The sequence below is a fragment of the Homo sapiens genome, chromosome 8 (genome assembly GCF_000001405.40).
Source record: "Homo sapiens chromosome 8, GRCh38.p14 Primary Assembly".
Taxonomy (NCBI): domain Eukaryota; kingdom Metazoa; phylum Chordata; class Mammalia; order Primates; family Hominidae; genus Homo; species Homo sapiens.
The window spans coordinates 79,620,405-79,639,333 of NC_000008.11; the positions used below are offsets into that span (position 1 = coordinate 79,620,405).

Consider the following 18,929-nt stretch of genomic DNA (forward strand, 5'->3'; position numbering starts at 1 on the left):
CATTGATAGTCAGTGTCACTAACTAAAGTAAAATAGATTGGAGCACCAACTTTGTTCTGAAGCCTGTGCCAGGTATTATGAGAACAAAAATAAAAATGTTCCTCACCCTTGGTGGATTTAGTCTTTTGCAGAAAAAAAGATCCTGTACATGTCAGAAAGTTCAATAGTAATAATGGTAATTTATAACTATAAATGGAAGTCACCATCTCACAATTTCACCATCTTAACAATTTTGTTAAACTGCCCTACAATATTACAAGATAGTACATAATGATACACTAGTAACATCAACTAGGAAGTACCAAGATCCACCAAAAGGCTGAAAAATTTAAATATTTAATGAGTCCATCAACCAATCTGGCCAGAGAATTCTTTAATTAAAATGCTTCCCAAATTTTACTGAGAATCAGCAGCGTTTGAGGAGCTAGCCTCCACCCCCAGAGGTTCTCACTCTATTAGGTCTGAAGCAGGTCCCATGGATTTGCATTTCTAACAAGCTCCCAGGTGGTGCTGATGAGGCTGATTCAGAACCACACTTGGAGTAGACCTAAAACAGCAGTGACCTGTAGGGTCCCCAAGCAGCAGGCCAGGACAGCATGTGAGTTACGTCCTCTGTGGAGCTCTGCAACAAGGCGTCAAGAGGTCAGAGTCTAAGTCCCCATCAGCTCTGCCCTTCTCCACCAGTGCTGCTGGTGCTGCATGGAAGGAAGAGCCCAGAAGGGATTCTGAGTTTCAGTCTTTACTCTTGCTGACGCACCTTGGTCAGGTCAATTTTCCTGTTTGTTCCTCTAATTCAGCATCTGTAAAATAGCCATGTGAACTGCCTTGTCCATATCAGAGGGTCTTTTTCAGACTCAAGGAAAAAAACGTGAAAGTGATTAGTGTCTGTCAAGTAGTATATAAATGCAAGAAGTTGAGTTTTTAAATTGTCATTAGATATAAATACCCATGTGCATGCATTTAGAATGAGTAAAGAGGGAACAAGGAGCGCAATCAAAAACTGCGTCATTTGCTTTTTGAAAAATACTTTCTATGTAATGAAAAGTGAAATAAAATGTTAATTGAGTCCCTCTGACAACAGCATCAGACGTTTTGCAGTTCTTGTGATTAGAACCCACCTGGCCAGCCCTTCTTCCTCCTAAAGAAGAGCCTTCTTCTTCTTAAATGAAGGTTGGCTCAGAAGAAGCAATTAACTCATTCAACGTTTTGTTACAGTCAATCCACATCCAACTTTTCCCCAACTCAATCTGCTTTAAGGGAAGGATGGTAAGTGGTGGCCCAAGATGGCAACCATCAAGCTTAGAGAATCTCTAGAAGCAGGGGTGTCCCCAGCAAGTAGACACTGAAAATATGAGAGGGCTGATAAGCCAGAGATAAAACTCAGTACTTACTTTGCTTCTAGTCCATGTCTACCCCTTTCTTGGCACCACCTTGACACTACCCTCTGAGTCCACCTTCCTGAGATGGTACAAACTCTGCTTAGACAAAGCAGCCCATGTCCAAAGGTGTTAGGGCTCAGTTTAAAGCTGCCTTCAAAAGTTAAAACAGAAGTGTAAAGTTCTGTGCAATTAAAAATAATCAGCTTGTCTTGGAACTCAAACGAATGTAAAATCCTATGAAAATTAAAAAGCAGTACCACAAGTTACCCCAAAAGTCCTTAGGTCAGTAACTGTTCCTGTTACAGGTAAGAGAGAGCATGGATTAGAGGTGGGCGTGGGTATCCAGTGGACATGGTTTTGAACCATGCTCCACTACTACTCACTATCTGAGAATTCTTAAATTTATTAATCATTTCTATATTATAATTTTCTCAGTTATGAAATGGGAAAACAATACCTAAATCACATGGTTGTTAAGTAAGCAATTGATTGTTAAGCATTTGGTCATCAAAAATATTAATCCCCTTCCCTGATTCCCTAGATAAATGATGAAAATACTAAATAAAAATAATAAAAATTTAAAGTGAACATCTCAATTCTTATACTTTGTTAATTTCTACATGTATTACAAATCTACTAGAAATTACTTGGAATTGAGGAAATGATTACTGCTTAATAATTCTTTGTGGTAGAGGGAGAGTTGGTATCATATTTATGAGACAGCAGCCAATATAGTATATCTCAAAGGAAAAAATCCATTCTACATAATGCCAGAATTTAATAGTTAAGCATTTTATCTAGGTCACAGCACAATAAGCAAGATGGATAATTAAAATAAAAGTATATTTCTCTTGCATATATTTCTCATTTCATGTTTCCCTATCATATTTTATATCTTACCTTACTTCAAATACATATATACCTTCAATAAAACTGAGCCTTCTTGCTTACCCAGGAAGTTTCATCATTCAGTAGAAATAAAAGATGACTTTAGAAATATTAAAATACAAAAATCTACACTGAGGTCTTTTGAATGCAGGAAAAAGAATTATATCACACACACACGTACACGCACGCATGCATACACACACACAGAACCTCTCGTTCTTTCTTAACATCTTATCAATCCATCAGTTTCACTCCCACTCCGTATCACCTGACTGTGCACAATATCTCATTGCCACCTCCCAGTCTTCTCCCTGCCTGGCACCCTCCTGCTCTCCTGCTTCCACTTTAAACACCCTTCCTTCAGCTAGGTCTTTTCTTTCAGGGATCCTCCCGTTGCTTTCTTATCTGGATCAATTTAGCCTTCCTCTTCTCCACCCATTAGTGGATAAGCACGACAAAGACACTAGAGTCAAATAATACAAACAGAATATACCTTAGATGAGTATGGTGATGAAAAGGATATGGATACTTAGAGTTTAGCACTATTCTCTCAGCCACTCAGGAAAGCAACGCCTTTACAATCAATAGTGTTTCAGGTACCAATCAATAATCTGTTATTGCTATTTTTAAAATCTATAAGGTATCAGTAAAATGTAATTACTAGAGCAACAAAGATATCTTGTGAAATCAAATTAGTATTCATCCAGCAACTGAGTACAAAGGTTTAAGGGAGGATAACTACCAATACCAAAACATTTTAAGCATTTTGTTTTGCCTCCTAAATATCAAATCATGTAAATGTGTGGTACATAAATTAGGAATTATATTTATGACATAGCTGCAGACATATTAAGAGAAATATGTGCTTATATTTACAAGTATAGTACAGTTCTTTTTCATATTAGATACTGTTGATGATAATCTGCATATAAAAATGCTCAATATTTTTTCACATTTATAAGCCATAAAATACAGCTAATAAAATGTGTTTCTACTTTCTCATAAACATGGAATAGTGACAAACAAGGAGCTTTATATGAAAGCACCATTACAATTTAAACTCTCACAAGGTCATAATATATTGCACTAAGCAGGAGAGTTCAGCTTATTTAAAAAAAAAAATAAACTCTAATGAGGTTCTGGAATGCAGAGCCAAAGCATAAAGATGGAAATAAAAGAATTGCATGTCTTCTGAACTGACTTGGTTGATGATTTTTTTAAAAAAGGTTTTGTGTCTTCTGACTTGGTTGATGATTTTTTAAAAAAACGTTTTGTGGTAGAACAAATAAGGTAAATGAAATTCAGTATTTAGGATGAAAAGTTTTTCTAATTTCAGGAACAACATTGAAGAAATATTGAACTAAGCAGCTTTGAAAGAATCAGATTCCATTTGTTGAAATTTTTCTGAGAATGAATTTTTTTAAGACAGTGTACACAGTTGCAGTGTGTATTGGTTATGGATTGTGGCAAGCTATATTACAACTTACCCAAGAAATAAGGAGGCTGGGCGTGGTGGCTCACACCTGTAATCCCAGCACTTTGGGTGGCCGAGGCGGGCGGATCACGAGGTCAGGAGATCGAGACCATCCTGGCTAACACGGTGAAACCCCGTCTCTACTAAAAGTACAAAAAATTAGCCGGGTGTGGTGGCGGGTGCCTGTAGTCCCAGCTACTCGGGAGGCTGAGGCAGGAGAATGGCGTGAATCCGGGAGGGGGAGTTTGCAGTGAGCCGAGATTGTACCACTGCACTCCAGCCTGGGCGACAGAGCGAGACTCCGTCTCAAAAAAAAAAAAAAAAAAAAAAAAAGAAAGAAAGAAAGAAGGAAAAAAGTCACTTGAAAAGAATACTGGACTTTGTGTCCAGCTTGCATAGCTGAAAAGAATAAAAACCTGTCCACTTAAACTCATTGCAAAAAGAAGATGTCACTCCTACAAATAGCAAAGAGTCATGAAATTATTCTATCCAGAAAAGTATACATTTCATCCCTTTGGATAAATTTTAGAAGTGAACTATGAATACATACGGTGAGGATAGCCAGCTAAGAAGTCAAGAAGGATTTCTCAAATTTGCTGCTCAGAAAGATCATACTCTCCACAAAACAAATAATAGCAGGCTTTCCAAGTCAACCTTGAATCCAGCTTTCCTTTATCTTTCCTTCTTGTGAACTTTCACTAGTTTACTATCTAACAATGAATTTGACGATAGCCACATACCATCTTATAGCAATATTTGTTATCATATCCCTTGTTATTTATCATTCACCTGCTCTGCTTGAGCCAGCTACAAGTCACATGTCCCACGCACTTTTTCCTGTTTGATTTTTTACAGCACTTTGAGACATGTCTCATTATTCCTACTTGACAGGAAAGAAGCCATGGAAAGTTGAGTGACTTGCTCCTGATCACAAATGCTGGCCAAGGAAGAGTCGAGTTTCAAATCTAATGATCTTTCCACTGCACTCTAGATTCCTCATTTTGAACTATTTTTTTATTTTTTGCACTATAGACTTTTTTCCACATTTTGAACTGTTTTTTATTTTTTGCACTATAGACTTTTCTCTTATACCCAACTATATTGATGACTTCTTTTAGGCTAGAAACTTGTTTCACTTACTTTCCCTTTCTTCAGATTGCTGCAATATTGGCCAACATGTATTGGGTACTTACTGAGTCAAGTACTGTGATTGTGCCAAGTATCTTATAGGAGGATTATCATCCTCATTTTTACAGGTGAGAAAGGAAAGGAGGTAAAGTCACACACAGCCAACAAAAATGGTAGCACCAGGATTTGAAACAAATCAGTCTGACCCAAGTTGACTTTGTTAACCACTGTATGCACAGTCTTCTTAGACATAGTAAGAGCTCTAATTGTGTTTGGTGATTTGATTATTATGACAAAGTAAGTAAGGGAAGCAGGGAGAATTATAAGAAATAAGGCTCCACAACACTTGGCTATAGCAAAGCCCCTTAAAACTTCAAAAGGTCACCCAAAGAATAAAGATCAGGCTGGGAGCAGTGGCTCACGCCTGTAATCCCAGCACTTTGGGAGGCCGAGGTGGGTGGATCACCTGAGTTCAGGAGTTCGAGACCAGCCTGGACAACATGGTGAAACCCTGTCTCTACTAAAAATACAAAAATTAGCTGGATGTGGTGGTTGCCGCCTGTAATCCCAGCTACTTGGGAGGCTGAGGCAGGGAGAATCGCTTGAACCCAGGAGGTGGAGGTTGCAGTGAGCCGAGATCATGCCACTGCACTCCAGCCTGGGCAACAAGAGCAAAAAACTCTGACTCAAAAAAATAAATAAATCAATCAATAAAATAAAGATCAATTTGGAGAAATTAATGCTTATTAATAAGCAATGTCTTGCACAGCACTTCAGTTTCTCAATACATTACCTAACTCAATCCTTACAACAACACCCTATCCCCATTTTGTGGATAAATAAACTCATGTTCAGAAGGTTGAATAAATTATCTAAGGTTAATAGTTCCTGACCTAGAGCTCAAATCTTCAGTTTCTATCATATTCTTGCCCTTACCCTGGGGTAGCTAACATTCACTCACTAGTATTGGAGCTAAAATAAGGGAGAGAACATATAAATGAATACAAAGGAGACATTCACCTGCCTTCTCTTTCTCCTTACATAGAGAAGGTTGATTATCTGCTATTGTGAAGTTTGCCTTTTGAAGGATAGAAATGAGAAGACTTTCTTAAATTTTGCCTCTACGCCAAGAAATTAGAGTGGTACCACCAGTAGTTCCATTTTCAAACTATCACTGTAGCTAAAGCTATGTGGTAAGGGCCAAGGAAAAGAAGTATTCTTGCACTTCAAAATGCACTGAAATACCAGTCAGTAGCATAATATAAAGGAATTTAGTGGAGAGAAGAGTTGACCTCAATCTGGCTCCAACATCTCGGCTCTTAACCCCTACCCTACACTTGTTCTTCATGGGGAAGCTAATTGGGCCACTGGAAGATTCAGCAGCTACCATTTGCAGCTGAGGGACAGCCCCTCCCTGCTTAGCAACCAATGGATATGCATTTATGGAACACCTGCTAACTGCGACACACACTCCTATGTATGAGGGAAAATACAAAAAATGTTAAAGGAGATGCCTTCCCTTGCCCTCAGGAAACTTAAGTATAGTTGCAAAGAAATGATTAGCAGCAAACGAAACCATGGAGAAGTAAGGGCTAAGGTCTGTGAAACAAGCCTAGAAAATAACCTTGTCCTTGAAAAACACAAAAAGAAAGAAAGAAAGAAAAGAAACTCCAAGGCCCTTGTGAAGGAAACCATTAAGTTTGCTTCACTTCTGTGTTTAGGAAGACACAAACCCAGTCTTAATGAACCTCAAGGCCACAACTACTGGAGACATTTAGGAATTGTCACCACATTCTAATGTATATATCCTCTGTTTGGCCCTTCCTATTAATATTTTGTAAAATTTTTGAAGATATGAGCAATGTTTAAAACCATGAATCCCCCTTTTTTTATAAGTAATATTTAGGCTGAATAAACAAGAGAAAATAGGACATAAAGGGGAGCCAACGTGTGCCTTCATTTATAATGTATTCCCAAGTTGTGAGTTTGGTTTATCAGCAATTTATCATGCCAAATTCCAAGTCATATTTATCTATGCAGATCAAACACTTGATTCTATTTTTGCCTTAATTTTTTTATTGGGTATGTTTATGACCAAGTCATATGGTATTTTCTGTGACAGATAAAATGCACAGGTTATTCCAATCTGGCTCAGCCAGTCATAGCAACATGTAGTCCTTCTCATGTCTTAAGAATGAGTATCAAGAATTCAAAGGGAGTTCCAGATGGCATCCAAAAAGCTTACAGTTTATGCATCACTTATTCTAACAGTAGAAAAAGAATATTTGAAGCCAAAAATAGACCTTGCATGTAGCATGTGGAAGAGTAGAAATTGCCCTGATAGTTAAACAATTTGAAATTCAAGACATTAATTTCTTTATGAAGCATTTGTCACATCATAGGTAATATTTTATGCCTATCATATATATACTTATTATGAAATACAAAGAAATTATTCATTCTATCTAAGACTTTGTATCCTTTACCAATATCTCTCCATTCTCCCACCTCCACCCTAGCCCCTGGAAACCACCCTTCTACTCTCTGCTTCTATGAGTTCTTTTTTAGTGAGATCATGCAGTATTTGTCTTTCTGTTCCTGTCTTATTTCACTTGACATAATGTCCTTCAGGCTTATCCATGTTGTCACAAATGACAGAATTTCCTTCTTAAGGCTGAATAGTATTCCATTGTGTGTATGTAGCACATTTTCTTTATTAATTCATTTGTTGATGGATACTCATATTGATTCCATATCTTGGGTCTTGTGAATAATGATGCAGTGAACATAGGAGTGCAGATATCTTTTTGACATACTGATTCCACTTTGATGGGATATATACCCAGTAGTGGGACTGCTGGATCATCTAGTAGTTTTATTTTTTTTTATTTTTTATTTTTTTTATTTTGAGACAGAGCCTTGCTATGTCGCCCAGGCTGGAGTACAGTGGTGCCATCTAGGCTCACTGCAATCTCTGCCTCCTGGGTTCAAGCAATTTTCCTGCCTCAGCCTCCTGAGTAGCTGGGATTACAGGCACGCACCACCATGCCCGGCTAATTTTTGTATGTTTAGTAGAGACGGGGTTTCACCATGTCTCGAACTCCTGTCTTCAAGTGATCCGTCCACCTCAGACTCCCAAAGTGCTGCGATTACAGGTGTGAGCCACCACGCCTGGCCTAGTAGTTCTGTTTTTAATTTTTTGAGGAGCCTCCATACTGCTTTCCATAATGGCTCTAGGAATTTACATTCCACCAGCAGTGCACAAGGATTGCTTTTCTCCACATTCTGGCTAACCAGTCTCCTGTCTTTTTGAGAACAGACATTTCAACACGTGTGAGATAATATCTCATTGTGGTTTTGATTTGCATTTCCCTGATGATTAGTGATCTTGTGCCTTTTTTCATATAACTGCTGGACATTAATATGCCTTCCTTTGAGAACTGTGTATACAGGAGAAAATAATCACTTCTCAGAGGAGCTTTCATTTCAAAATATCCGGGAAAAAAATAGAAAAAATGGAAAATTTATCCTAGAGTAAGTTGTCTTTTATATTTTGACCCTGTTTGTGACATAAACTGGATGATACAAAACTGGAATGCAAAGGCTTTAGGAGGATTACTTACTTACTTGTATATTGCTTTAGGTTGTTTGCAGAAAATTATACTAATTGAAGTTCAGGCTATGATGTGATAAAATCTATGTCAGGAGATGAGTCTACATGCAAAGTTTGAGGAAGTGACATTTGAGTTTCAAAACAAAAAAGCAATTTTCAATGTCATATCTAGGTTAACCCAAAAGATTTCTTTCACCCTATTTAGCTGCCTCTAAGATGGATGCTGAGGATAATTACACTGTAGAACAATAGGACGATGCTTCACACTCACCTCACAGGCTCTGTTATTCCCACATACTGCCAGAGATACTCCAAAATAAAATCACTGCAACATCAGGCAGTTATAAACCTCAACGGTATTATTTTCTATTTATATACAGTATATTTTATATTTTACAAGTATAAAATAGAATATATTTATTCTATTCTCTTTGACACAAAGTGACCATAAGACATATTACTTAAGTATGACTAGCAAAGTCATGGGGCTTGTCATTCAGGAGGAAACTCTTAACTAACTGTTCAGTTTTTGTTCACTGCACCATTTACATAAGCCAAACTAATGCTTCACACTGTGCAAAACAATGCACAGTGTTGTGAATGAATGGCTAAAATAAAACTCTAATGAGTGGGGTTTGAAAAATGCAACTTTAGAAAACTGTTGAGAAAATGTTGCACACTGCGCATTTTACAAAATTTCGTTGAAGGACACTGGATATTCTTTTTAGGATTATGGAGGGAAGCAAAATTTTGGCTCCTACATGCAGTTTTTGTGGCCTTTGCCTGAAATAGTCATCTCCCATTAATTATTTAGATATCATTCATTTCCTAAGACAACATTTAGGGAGACTGCCTTAAGTACAATTTGTACACTACCCAGATAAGAATTCTTTTTGGTGAAACATCGATAAATATTACTTGGCAGTAACACCAAGTTAAAATATTTGTTTCACAGTCGACGTTAATAACTATTATAGATAAAGTGAATTTTATAAGACATACTCAGATCTAAAACAGCAATATGGAGCTCTTCAAATCCATTGAAACTTCATACCAGCCTACGGAAGTAGAGGTTTTTATGCAAACTCTTCAAGAAATATGCTCTGAACTTTTAATTCCTTAGATTGATAGAGGAATTAAATCATGATATAACTAATAGGTTTGTGGTACAAATTGCTGCTGCTTAATCTGACTCTGTGTCTTCCCAGTGTTCTATATGAATTAGATATTCCATTATCTAAAGACAATCAACCCCATCCCACGGTGATAGCTCTAGGACTCCCTTTGAGTTCATTAAATCTGTATTCTCAGTCTCCAAACTTCTGGTTAATTCAAACAGAAAAGTCAACTGGCCCATGAACTAAAATAAAGTCATCTGAATTTTTTTTTTATTTTGCAGTGTGATAAAAGTCTCGCACTTTTTATTTCTGAAAGTTTCTGCTTTCACTGAGAGCATAATAGGCTATCCACCCTTATGCAATCTTACATACAAAGTCATAGTCAGGCTAAATTCAAAAACACATGTGAGATAGAAGTCAACGTTTATTTTCTGGAGAAAAGCCACACATTACAACAAAGTGAACAATGAAGCTGGCATCCTTATCACTGGTGACCAAAACATTTGTGACTCTGGACATTGGCCCCACAAATGCGATAAACATTCTGCATAGGAAGTGAGTTTTGCTAATTAAAAATGGATCCAAAATACTTTCTACTCTTCAGCCAAGAATTAAAAAGTAATAGGGAGGAATTGAAATCACTTGGGTGCTACATTGAGCCATTCTGGAGAAGCAATTCAGAGAATGTCATGGCAGCCTCAAATTGCTGCTCAGGAGCATCCCAGCTTAGAAGATTGCAGGAAAGGAAGAGCAAAGTCATTCTTACATGAGAACTGTCCTTAACCAGATGAATAGACTCTCCATTTTTTACCCTGGCTTTGTCTCATTTAAGTCCCAACCAATCTAGCTATCATTTTAGGTTTTACTACCTGCTAGTATTTAGGAGCTTAGGGGGATAAAAAAATCCCTCAATACTCAGAATTAGACTTGGTGATAAAAATCTTGACACATAAACAGAATAAAGCGCTTTCATTACTCCTCTAAACCACAGTGTCATTTGGTCTCTATCAAGGACTGTAAGAATTTCTTTCATCAGGGGAAAGAAAAAAAGGACAAGAGCCTGCAAGATGTAGCGGAACTCTCATTAAACACAGCAGGAGCTTTAACTGGAATCCAGAGTAAGGTGAGGTACCAGGTTACAACAATTTACTGCTTTTATTACAATTTTGATCACAAGGACTGATTCATGTCATCTAGTTTCTTTTCCTTGTCACTATCACTGGTGCTAAGAATACATCAAATTGAAATTTAAGAGCCTCATATGTTTCTGTATAACCCAGTGATGGGTTGTACTGCTTTGACCTTCTTAAATGTCCCTTTATTTCATTTGATATCCATTCCCATAGAAAAACTATAATGCTTTGGTTGGTCAAAATATTAATCTTTCAAAACCTCCCTGGCTTAGAAAACCAAATTTTTGTAGAGAGAGATGGGTAGAATCTAATTTTATTCTAAAGCAATTAGCATTACATCATCACAGCAGAAATATCTAGAATATTACCTCATGTCAGTGATCTTCTGATATGTTAAAAAGGGTATTTTAAAATCTGAGTTATTTCTTTTTCTTTTTAAAGTTACATCATTAATTACATACTCATCAACCAAAATATTTTATGCTCCAAATTTGAACCGATATAGTATGTAAGAAGTGTTCAAAATGAAATTATTTTGGTCTATTTTGTCTTTGAAGAAGATCACAGGGATGGACCTCCCAAAAGGATTTTTAAATGGGATTACATATCTGACTTTTAAAAAAAATTATCTGACCTTGAGTTATAGTGCCCCAAAGTAAGCAAAGTTCCAAACACACAGTATCATCAGAATTGAGTTAAAATTATCACCAGGGGCTTAATTTCTGAAATTAAAAAGGAAATGTTATTTCCTTATGAAAAGAAAAGGAACCAAAAATGAACTTCAAGGTAGCTGATTTCTGTCTATGTTAAGACTTAGGTAATGGGAGAAAGGGAAAAGGAAGGACAGAATTAGGAGAGGAGCAGTGTTTAACAATTGCGGGTGCAAGACTCAAGTTTTTTAGAATCCATTAGCAGAGAACCCTATTTCTCCCATTAACTGCTGTCCTTTTAAATCCTGGCACCAGCTCTGAGGACTGCAGGGTCCATAGCTAGTGCCCCACTCTACCCAGTTTAAAGACACCACTGCCTGGAAATGACAGGGGTTTTTTTCTTAAGGAAAGAGGTGCTTTCTGCCACGTATATATAAATTGGTAAGCTTCAAATAAAGTGCTTTTGTCCTTTCTGTCTATCAGAAACTGTGCAAATCGAATTGCTGTAAAACCAAGGGCAAGAGACATCAATCCTGCATTCTATAGCATCTGATTTTATCCTTTATCCCCAGGCACATTTCAAAAGGAAAAAAATGAGGTTGCATTTAAATTGAGTATTTGGGACTTGCCAGGAAAACCTCCCGCTAGACTAATATGATTGCAGGGAAAACAAGAGAAAGGAAAAGTGGAGAGGGAGTGTGCTAACAGATCCTGGGCCTCGTCAGCAGAGCCGTCCTGAGCACAAGGCCATGGTCAGACATCTGGTCCCGCGAATGACGTTTTCTTTATGGTCATTAAGAACACCAGTGTGTCGGGACACAAACAAGTATTCCTTTCAGGGATTATGACACATTTTCTCCCAAAGTAGTATATTAATGACATTTCCAGAGCATTCTTTACTATCTTTTATATGTGATCAGGAAGACTAATACATATCACTACTTCTTTTACACACAGCATTAGCCAAAACTAAAGTGTCAAATACAATTTTGCCTAGGATGAATAAACAGAAGAAATTTTTATGATACTGCACTATCAATTCCAAATTAAATAACAACAAAATGATAAGTGTTAAAATTCATATTAATGATTGTTCCCACACAAGCCGGAAAAAATCTTTCTAAGAAGTCTTTCATGAGTTAATCCCATCTTTCAAAGTGTTCAGTGGCTCCGAATTCAGTTACTGTTTCCTATCAGTTCTTCTTTCATTAAGTCTCTTCCCTTTTTTTTCTCTTTGCACTATTTCCCTTAGCCGGGTACATAATCTGCTGTGCTTTATTCATTTGTGTCTTAAGTTTGTTTCCCGATGACATACCTTTCCAGCAACGCCATCTGGGGAGTTTGGGCAACTGTACCACGTTAGGAGGAAACCCTTCTTCACAGGAGAGTGTGCCTTTGCTGCAGGGAAGGAATTAGGATTTGCTTGGACTGTGGTTGCAGCTGGCTTTTAAGGATCTCCTTAGAATGCAAGCAACTCATCAATGAGAATCTCTGCAATGGTTGTCACTGGGTAGAGTCATGCTATGTGGGGTCATAGCCTTTGAAACAAATAACAGTAAAGATAAAAATGCTATTAAAGGAATCACCACCCACAGAGGTTAACTGGGTTTTGTCCCCAGACCACCTCGAACAAGAAAGAACATTTTTATCAGTCATTTTCTTAGTTTTAGCTGATAAAACAAAGTACCATAGACTAGGTGGCTTATAAACAACAGAAATTTATTTTTCACAGCTTTGGAAACTGGAAGTCTGAGATCAGGCCGCCAGAATGATCAGATTCTAGTTAGGGCCTACTTTGCTTTTGCAGACTGCCAACTTCTAGCTGCATTTTCATGTGGCAAAAGGAGATTGAGCTAGCTCTCTGGTCTCTTCTTATAAGGACACTAATCCCATTCATGAAGGCTTCACCTTCATCATCTAATTACTCTCCAAAGACCCCACCTCCAAATACTATCACATTGGGAATTAGATTTCAAATACAAATTTTGCGGGGACACAAATATTCAGTCCATAATAGTAATGATTACTCATTATACATAGGGCTCTAAATGTGCTAGCTTCTGATAGTTTTTACACTCACTTCTCTTTATTAGCTTGTCAAGCATAATTAGGGCAGTGGCCTTACTGAAAATTATTGAATTTAGTTTCCTAAGGACAGATATTGAGGAGTTTTTTCTTCACTAAAAATTCACGTTCCGATACAGCTTTCATCTGTTACTACTTTGTGAGATGGAAAATCTTTTATTTTATTTTTATGTTTGGATTGACCCTTCTTAATAAAGTCGGCATGTAATATGCTTCATGTGTTTCTAATATGTGCTTAATTTTGCAAAATGTTTTGCATACCAGAATGCATTTCTCTTCCAAAAAAGGTACCAGCCTACAAAACCTTGCTGTTACTGTTTTCAATTAGTTCATGGAATTAAATGTATTAAATGTTTTATGCTCTGGCAGAAATTATGATTCTCACTTAACTCCATATAAATCTGGATCTGCCTGGGCCTTTATAAGTGACACAATTTCATTAACTGAATAAACAAATGATACAAAGAAATTTGGTTTAGCCTTCTAAAATTCCAAAGGCGTTCAACAAAATATCTCAGAATGGATGTTCCAGGACTTTTATGGCACAGGACAACATGTATTGCTTATTTTAAGAAAATAAGCTAAATAGTGAGGGGATTCTTTTAGCAGATCCTCAGGATGTGTTAGGTTGAATCATAGGCAAATGATATTTGATCATTGCACCTGTTAACACATTGAACCTCATCCTAAAATTGTAGAGCTAGAAGAAAGCCTTCTGGCAGTTTTTAAATAGATTGATTTACTGCAATTTATCCAGAAGCTTCACCGTTGTCACTGGCTACATGTGACTTTGGCCTCTGTGGGGCTATATCCTCATTTGTAAAATTGGTGGTGAGGTAGGTGGACAGTTGACTAAATAATCTCTTAGAATAATTCTAGTATCTGTGGATCTAAAGCATCCAGGGGTTGAATATGTTTCTTTCTGGCCAAGAAAAGATGCACCTGTCAATAATGCCCAAACTCATCTTCTGAGAATCCTCTTTCCCAAGATACCCACTCTCCCTTGGGTTATATTATAGTAATGATCAGAAGCCCCTGCCAAGAAGAAACTGTTAACCTGGGAGGTCTATATTTTATTTCACAGCCATCTGTTTATACTTTCTCACAAGTTAGTGCACAGTATACCCATCATTTTCTACCATTTTCCTTAATTTATTAATTTTACTAATTGCATAATTAACAAAAGTAAGAAGATTTTACCTCCTTATCCCCATCTGGTAGTTTGCAGATACTTGGCCTGATGACAACTGACAGTGATGAGATACTCACCAAGTTTACCAGGGCAGGAGGCTTCCTAGAGAAAAAATGAGAAAATGAAATGGGGAAGGGGAGTGAAGGATTGAGGAGGTGACAATCTGGACTCTTGCAACTGCATGGCAAGGTTGGCACACAAGCTGGGTTGCAACGGAGGGAAGGAGATCCTTATCAGATGTAATCAGAGCTCAGATCGAGGGCTTTGGTGTGTGTAGAAAGAGGGAGAGACAAAGAACTTAAAACAGAGCTGCCATTTGACCTTGCAATCCCATTACTTGGTGTATACCCAAAGGAGAATAAATCATTCTATTAAAAAGACACATGTGCTTGTATGTTCATGGCAGCACTATTCACAATAGCTAAGACATGGAATCAAACTAGGTGTCCATCTATGGCAGATTGGATAAAGAAAATGGGGTAAATATAAAGCATGCAATACAACATGGCCATAAGAAAAAATGAAATCATGTCCTTTGCTGCAACATGGATGCAGTTGGGACCCATAATCCTAAGTGAATTAACACAGGAACAGAAAACCAAATACAGCATGTTCTCACTTATAAGTGGGAGCTAAACACTGAGCACACATGGACATAAATATGAGAACAATAAACACTGTGGACTACTAGAGGGGGGAAGGAGAGAGGTTTGTAAAACTACCTATCAGGTGCTATGCTCAATACCTGGGTGATGGGATTTACACCCCAAACATCAGCATCATTTAATATTCCCATGTAAAAAGACTGCACATATACCCCTTGTATCTAAAATAAAACTTGAAATTAAAAAAAAAAGAAAGAAAGAAAGAGGCTGGAAATAGAGGCTCACACCTGTAATCCCAGCACTTTGGGTGGCCAAGGTGGGTGGATTGCTTGAGCCCGGGAATTCAAGACCAGCCTGAGAAACCTGGTGAAACTCTGTCTGTACAAAAAATACAAAAATTATCCAGGCATGGTGGAGCGCACCTGTAGTCCCAGCTAATGGGGAGGCTGAGGGGGGAACATCACTTGAGCCCAGGAGGTGGAGGTTGCAGTGAGCTGGGATCACACCACTGCACTACAGCCTGGGTAACAGAGCAACTCTGTCTCAAAGAGAGAGAGGAAAGAAAAAAGAAAAGATGGACAGATAAGAAAATGCACTTGGAGATTAAGAGAAAGCAGCAACATAGGACCCTGGATAATGTGTTTGCTTAATAACTATCCTGATGAGTTATCTGACTATTCCCAAATGAGTACGTGGCAATTCAGGCTGAACCATCAGAGTAGCCCTCCGGAATCTTACTTATGTACAATAGACCTGCATGCACATTTACTAGAATGAGCCTCTCTCTCTGGTAATCATGTCTGCTTCCACTAATTCCATCTGTTTCCTCTCTCTCCCTCCTATCCTGCTAGATCTTAATTCCTTCGACCTTCCTTTGTTTTTCTAACTCCCTTTCTTTCTCTTGTTATTTAACCTGCTATACTATGCAATTGATCTCCTCTGCACTAAGGAACATGCACTTCAGAATTCTGTTGACATCTTGCATTCCTTTATATTTAGTGAAAGAATGCAAAGGAGTCTACCTGGCAATATTCACTCTGCAGGAGGCAATAATTATTATTCAAATTAAAGGAAGCAGTAAAGAGAAATTCAGAAAAAATGAAATATACTAATCTTCAGCTTTTCATTTCAGCCTACAAGGAAAAAATGAAGGAGCTGTCCATGCTGTCACTGATCTGCTCTTGCTTTTACCCGGAACCTCGCAACATCAACATCTATACTTACGATGGTGAGTAACCTAGGATAGACATACCCCTGCTAGCTAGATCATTTGGAAAGGTTGACATATATTTGTTTCTTACAGCTCCTGATATAATTACATCAATATTTTGTAGCTCTCACTATTGACTTGCCGTGTCTAGCTATTATGTCCAATTGATTACCTATTGCTGAAAACAGTTTGAATTTGGTGCTAATAACAACACATCAATGTCTGTTAAGAAATGTGGATGGATTCTTATTAACAGCCACATCCAGCATATCAACATCCACAATATGTCTAAGGTCTTTCTTTGCAAATAATTTAATAGGCTAAGCCATAATTGGAGTAGATCATAATTTGTAAGAAAATGCTTTATACTTAGAAAACTCAAGAGAAAGAATCAACAACCATAATTGTTTTTGCTTTATTGTAGTCTTTATAAAGTTTCTATACTTTGTATATACATGTCAACCAGCTAATGATAATAATAATTGGCTCAATAAATAAAACTGACTTACGACTGAGGCCCTAGATAAAGAGGGTCTGAAAAGAAAAGCCTAAAGAATTAGCATGGCAATTAACATGATTGAGGTGCAACTCTTTAGGTTTGATTTATCCTGATTCATTTTGCTTACTTTGGCTCTGCCACAATCCACATGATCTTGGTCAAATAGATACTTGGATTCTCTAAGTCTCATTTAACTCTAGCATCTTCCTCTTGGAGTTGTTGTGAGGTTTAAACGGTTTAATGTAAGTCAAATATGCAAAACCAAGCCTAGCTCATTATATCACTCTACAATGATAGCTATCATTATCAACATCATCCTTACCTAATTCAGTCAATTTAACTAAAATATTTTATACAGTTCTATGTATCCTAGATATCCCTAAGGCATATTTTACTAACTCTCAGGCTCACAAATATTTTTCTTTTCCATATATGTAAAGAAAGACATTAATGACAAAACAAACTGACCTTGTGGCAGTTAACCCCTTCTGCACCTTTAAAGCCTATTCAAGGACTCAAAGGCATTTACCTTCCAAAGTTATTCTATCGTAGCACAAAAATCATAAATGCTAATTAACTGTTCCATAAGGAAATGTCCTCCATGTGAAAGGAATTCTGTCTCCAAACAAAACATTCATTAGAATGCAGGGCCAATGCCTACTTTGTACAAATTCATTCGGTCAGCAAATAAATTAGACAGACCTTTATTATTTGCTAGATGTAGCTGTGAAGAAGGATCCAGCTATGTTTCTTATGAGACTAATGTCGAACTATGGGTTGTCACTGAGGATCCAGAGTTCCATAGGGCGTAGTCCTCACCTTCAAAGAATTCAGGGCTTAGTAGAAGAGTCTTACACAAATGACTAGAATGTAGAACACAGAGTGGTTAGGACAAAGGAGCCAGGGATGGTTTTTGCTGGGTTAGGGAATGAAAAAAGGGGAAGAAAATATGTGAAGTTATGTGTGAGCTGATTCTTGAAATAAGCTGTTTTTATTTGCCTGCGTTCTCTTATAATCCTTTTCCATAGGCTTCCATAATTTTTATTGAGCTGTATTTAAAGTTGAATAGATAATTCAACATTTCTCGTAAACTGTGCTTCCTAAAAGAGTCCGTAGAGAATTTCAAATTTCTGCAGTCTTTAACTTGACCTGGTATTTCTATGTTAGATAATAACGTGACTTGTTTATTGCAGGCAAACATTATAACAATAAATTATTATTATTGTTTACATTTGTAAGCACTAAGTATATGGCTTGTGCTTTGCATTCAGCATCCTTTATCATTTAATCTTCACAACCACCTTAGAAGGAAGGTACTCTTTTTATTTCCATCTTTTAAATGAGGAAATAAAAGCATAAAGAAGTTAATTAACTTACCTAGTGTCACACAGCTATTAAGAGGGGCTTACTATTTGGATGCAAATATAGGCAGTTCTAATTCCAGAGCCTCTAATCTAAGGCATTTAAAACCCCATCACCTTATCAAATAAGCTGTTTTTATTTGCCCGTGTTCTCTTATAATCCTTATCCATAGGTTTCCATAATTTTTATAAAATTGTATTTAAAATTTAAGTATAATCTTGGATGCCATCAGGAAAATGAAAAACATTTTTACATTTGTGAAGGAAAAAGCCCACATCATTTCCAATATAGTTATTGAGTTAGTATTATCTAGACTATCTATTAGCAGCTAAGGATCTGAGGTCAAGGCCTGCCAGCCTGGCATTTTACTTGACCACAACCTCCATGTGCACTAACCAGGCTGCTAAAAGAACATTAACGGGAACATAACCTGCTGGCTTGGTTGCCACAATTTTAAAAAGACGTTAATAAATTAGAGAGCACTTAGAGGTTAGGAAATAATATGGTGGTAAAGATCTAGAAACAGTGTCATTCTGGGGCACTTGAAGATGTTTAGCCTGGGGGAACAACTTGAAATGGAACATAACTGTTTT

At 37.3% G+C, this 18,929-nt stretch overlaps 1 protein-coding gene and 1 long non-coding RNA gene across 5 annotated transcripts in view; one reads left to right on the top strand and one right to left on the bottom strand.

The window, feature by feature from the left end:
* Positions 1–18,929, top strand: part of STMN2 (stathmin 2) — a 55,042-nt gene that overhangs the window by 9,288 nt on the left and 26,825 nt on the right. For 2 of the 3 annotated variants that reach the window (NM_001199214.2, NM_007029.4), the window contains exon 2: positions 16,398–16,493. In NM_001199214.2, coding sequence (NP_001186143.1) covers positions 16,398–16,493 — 96 coding nt within the window. Of the gene's footprint in view, positions 1–537; positions 559–11,029; positions 11,034–16,397; positions 16,494–18,929 lie in introns of those variants that run through there. The other variant, XM_005251142.3, reaches the window with a different exon arrangement.
* On the bottom strand, positions 728–17,762 carry LOC105375916 (uncharacterized). 2 transcript variants are annotated; one of them, XR_007060974.1, is made up of 3 exons: positions 17,677–17,762; positions 14,669–14,762; positions 728–800 (listed from the first exon to the last, which is right to left on the bottom strand). It is a non-coding gene; the product is annotated as an uncharacterized LOC105375916 (long non-coding RNA). The 2 variants fall into 2 exon arrangements; XR_001745974.2 differs by lacking the exon at positions 728–800 and adding an exon at positions 12,856–12,921.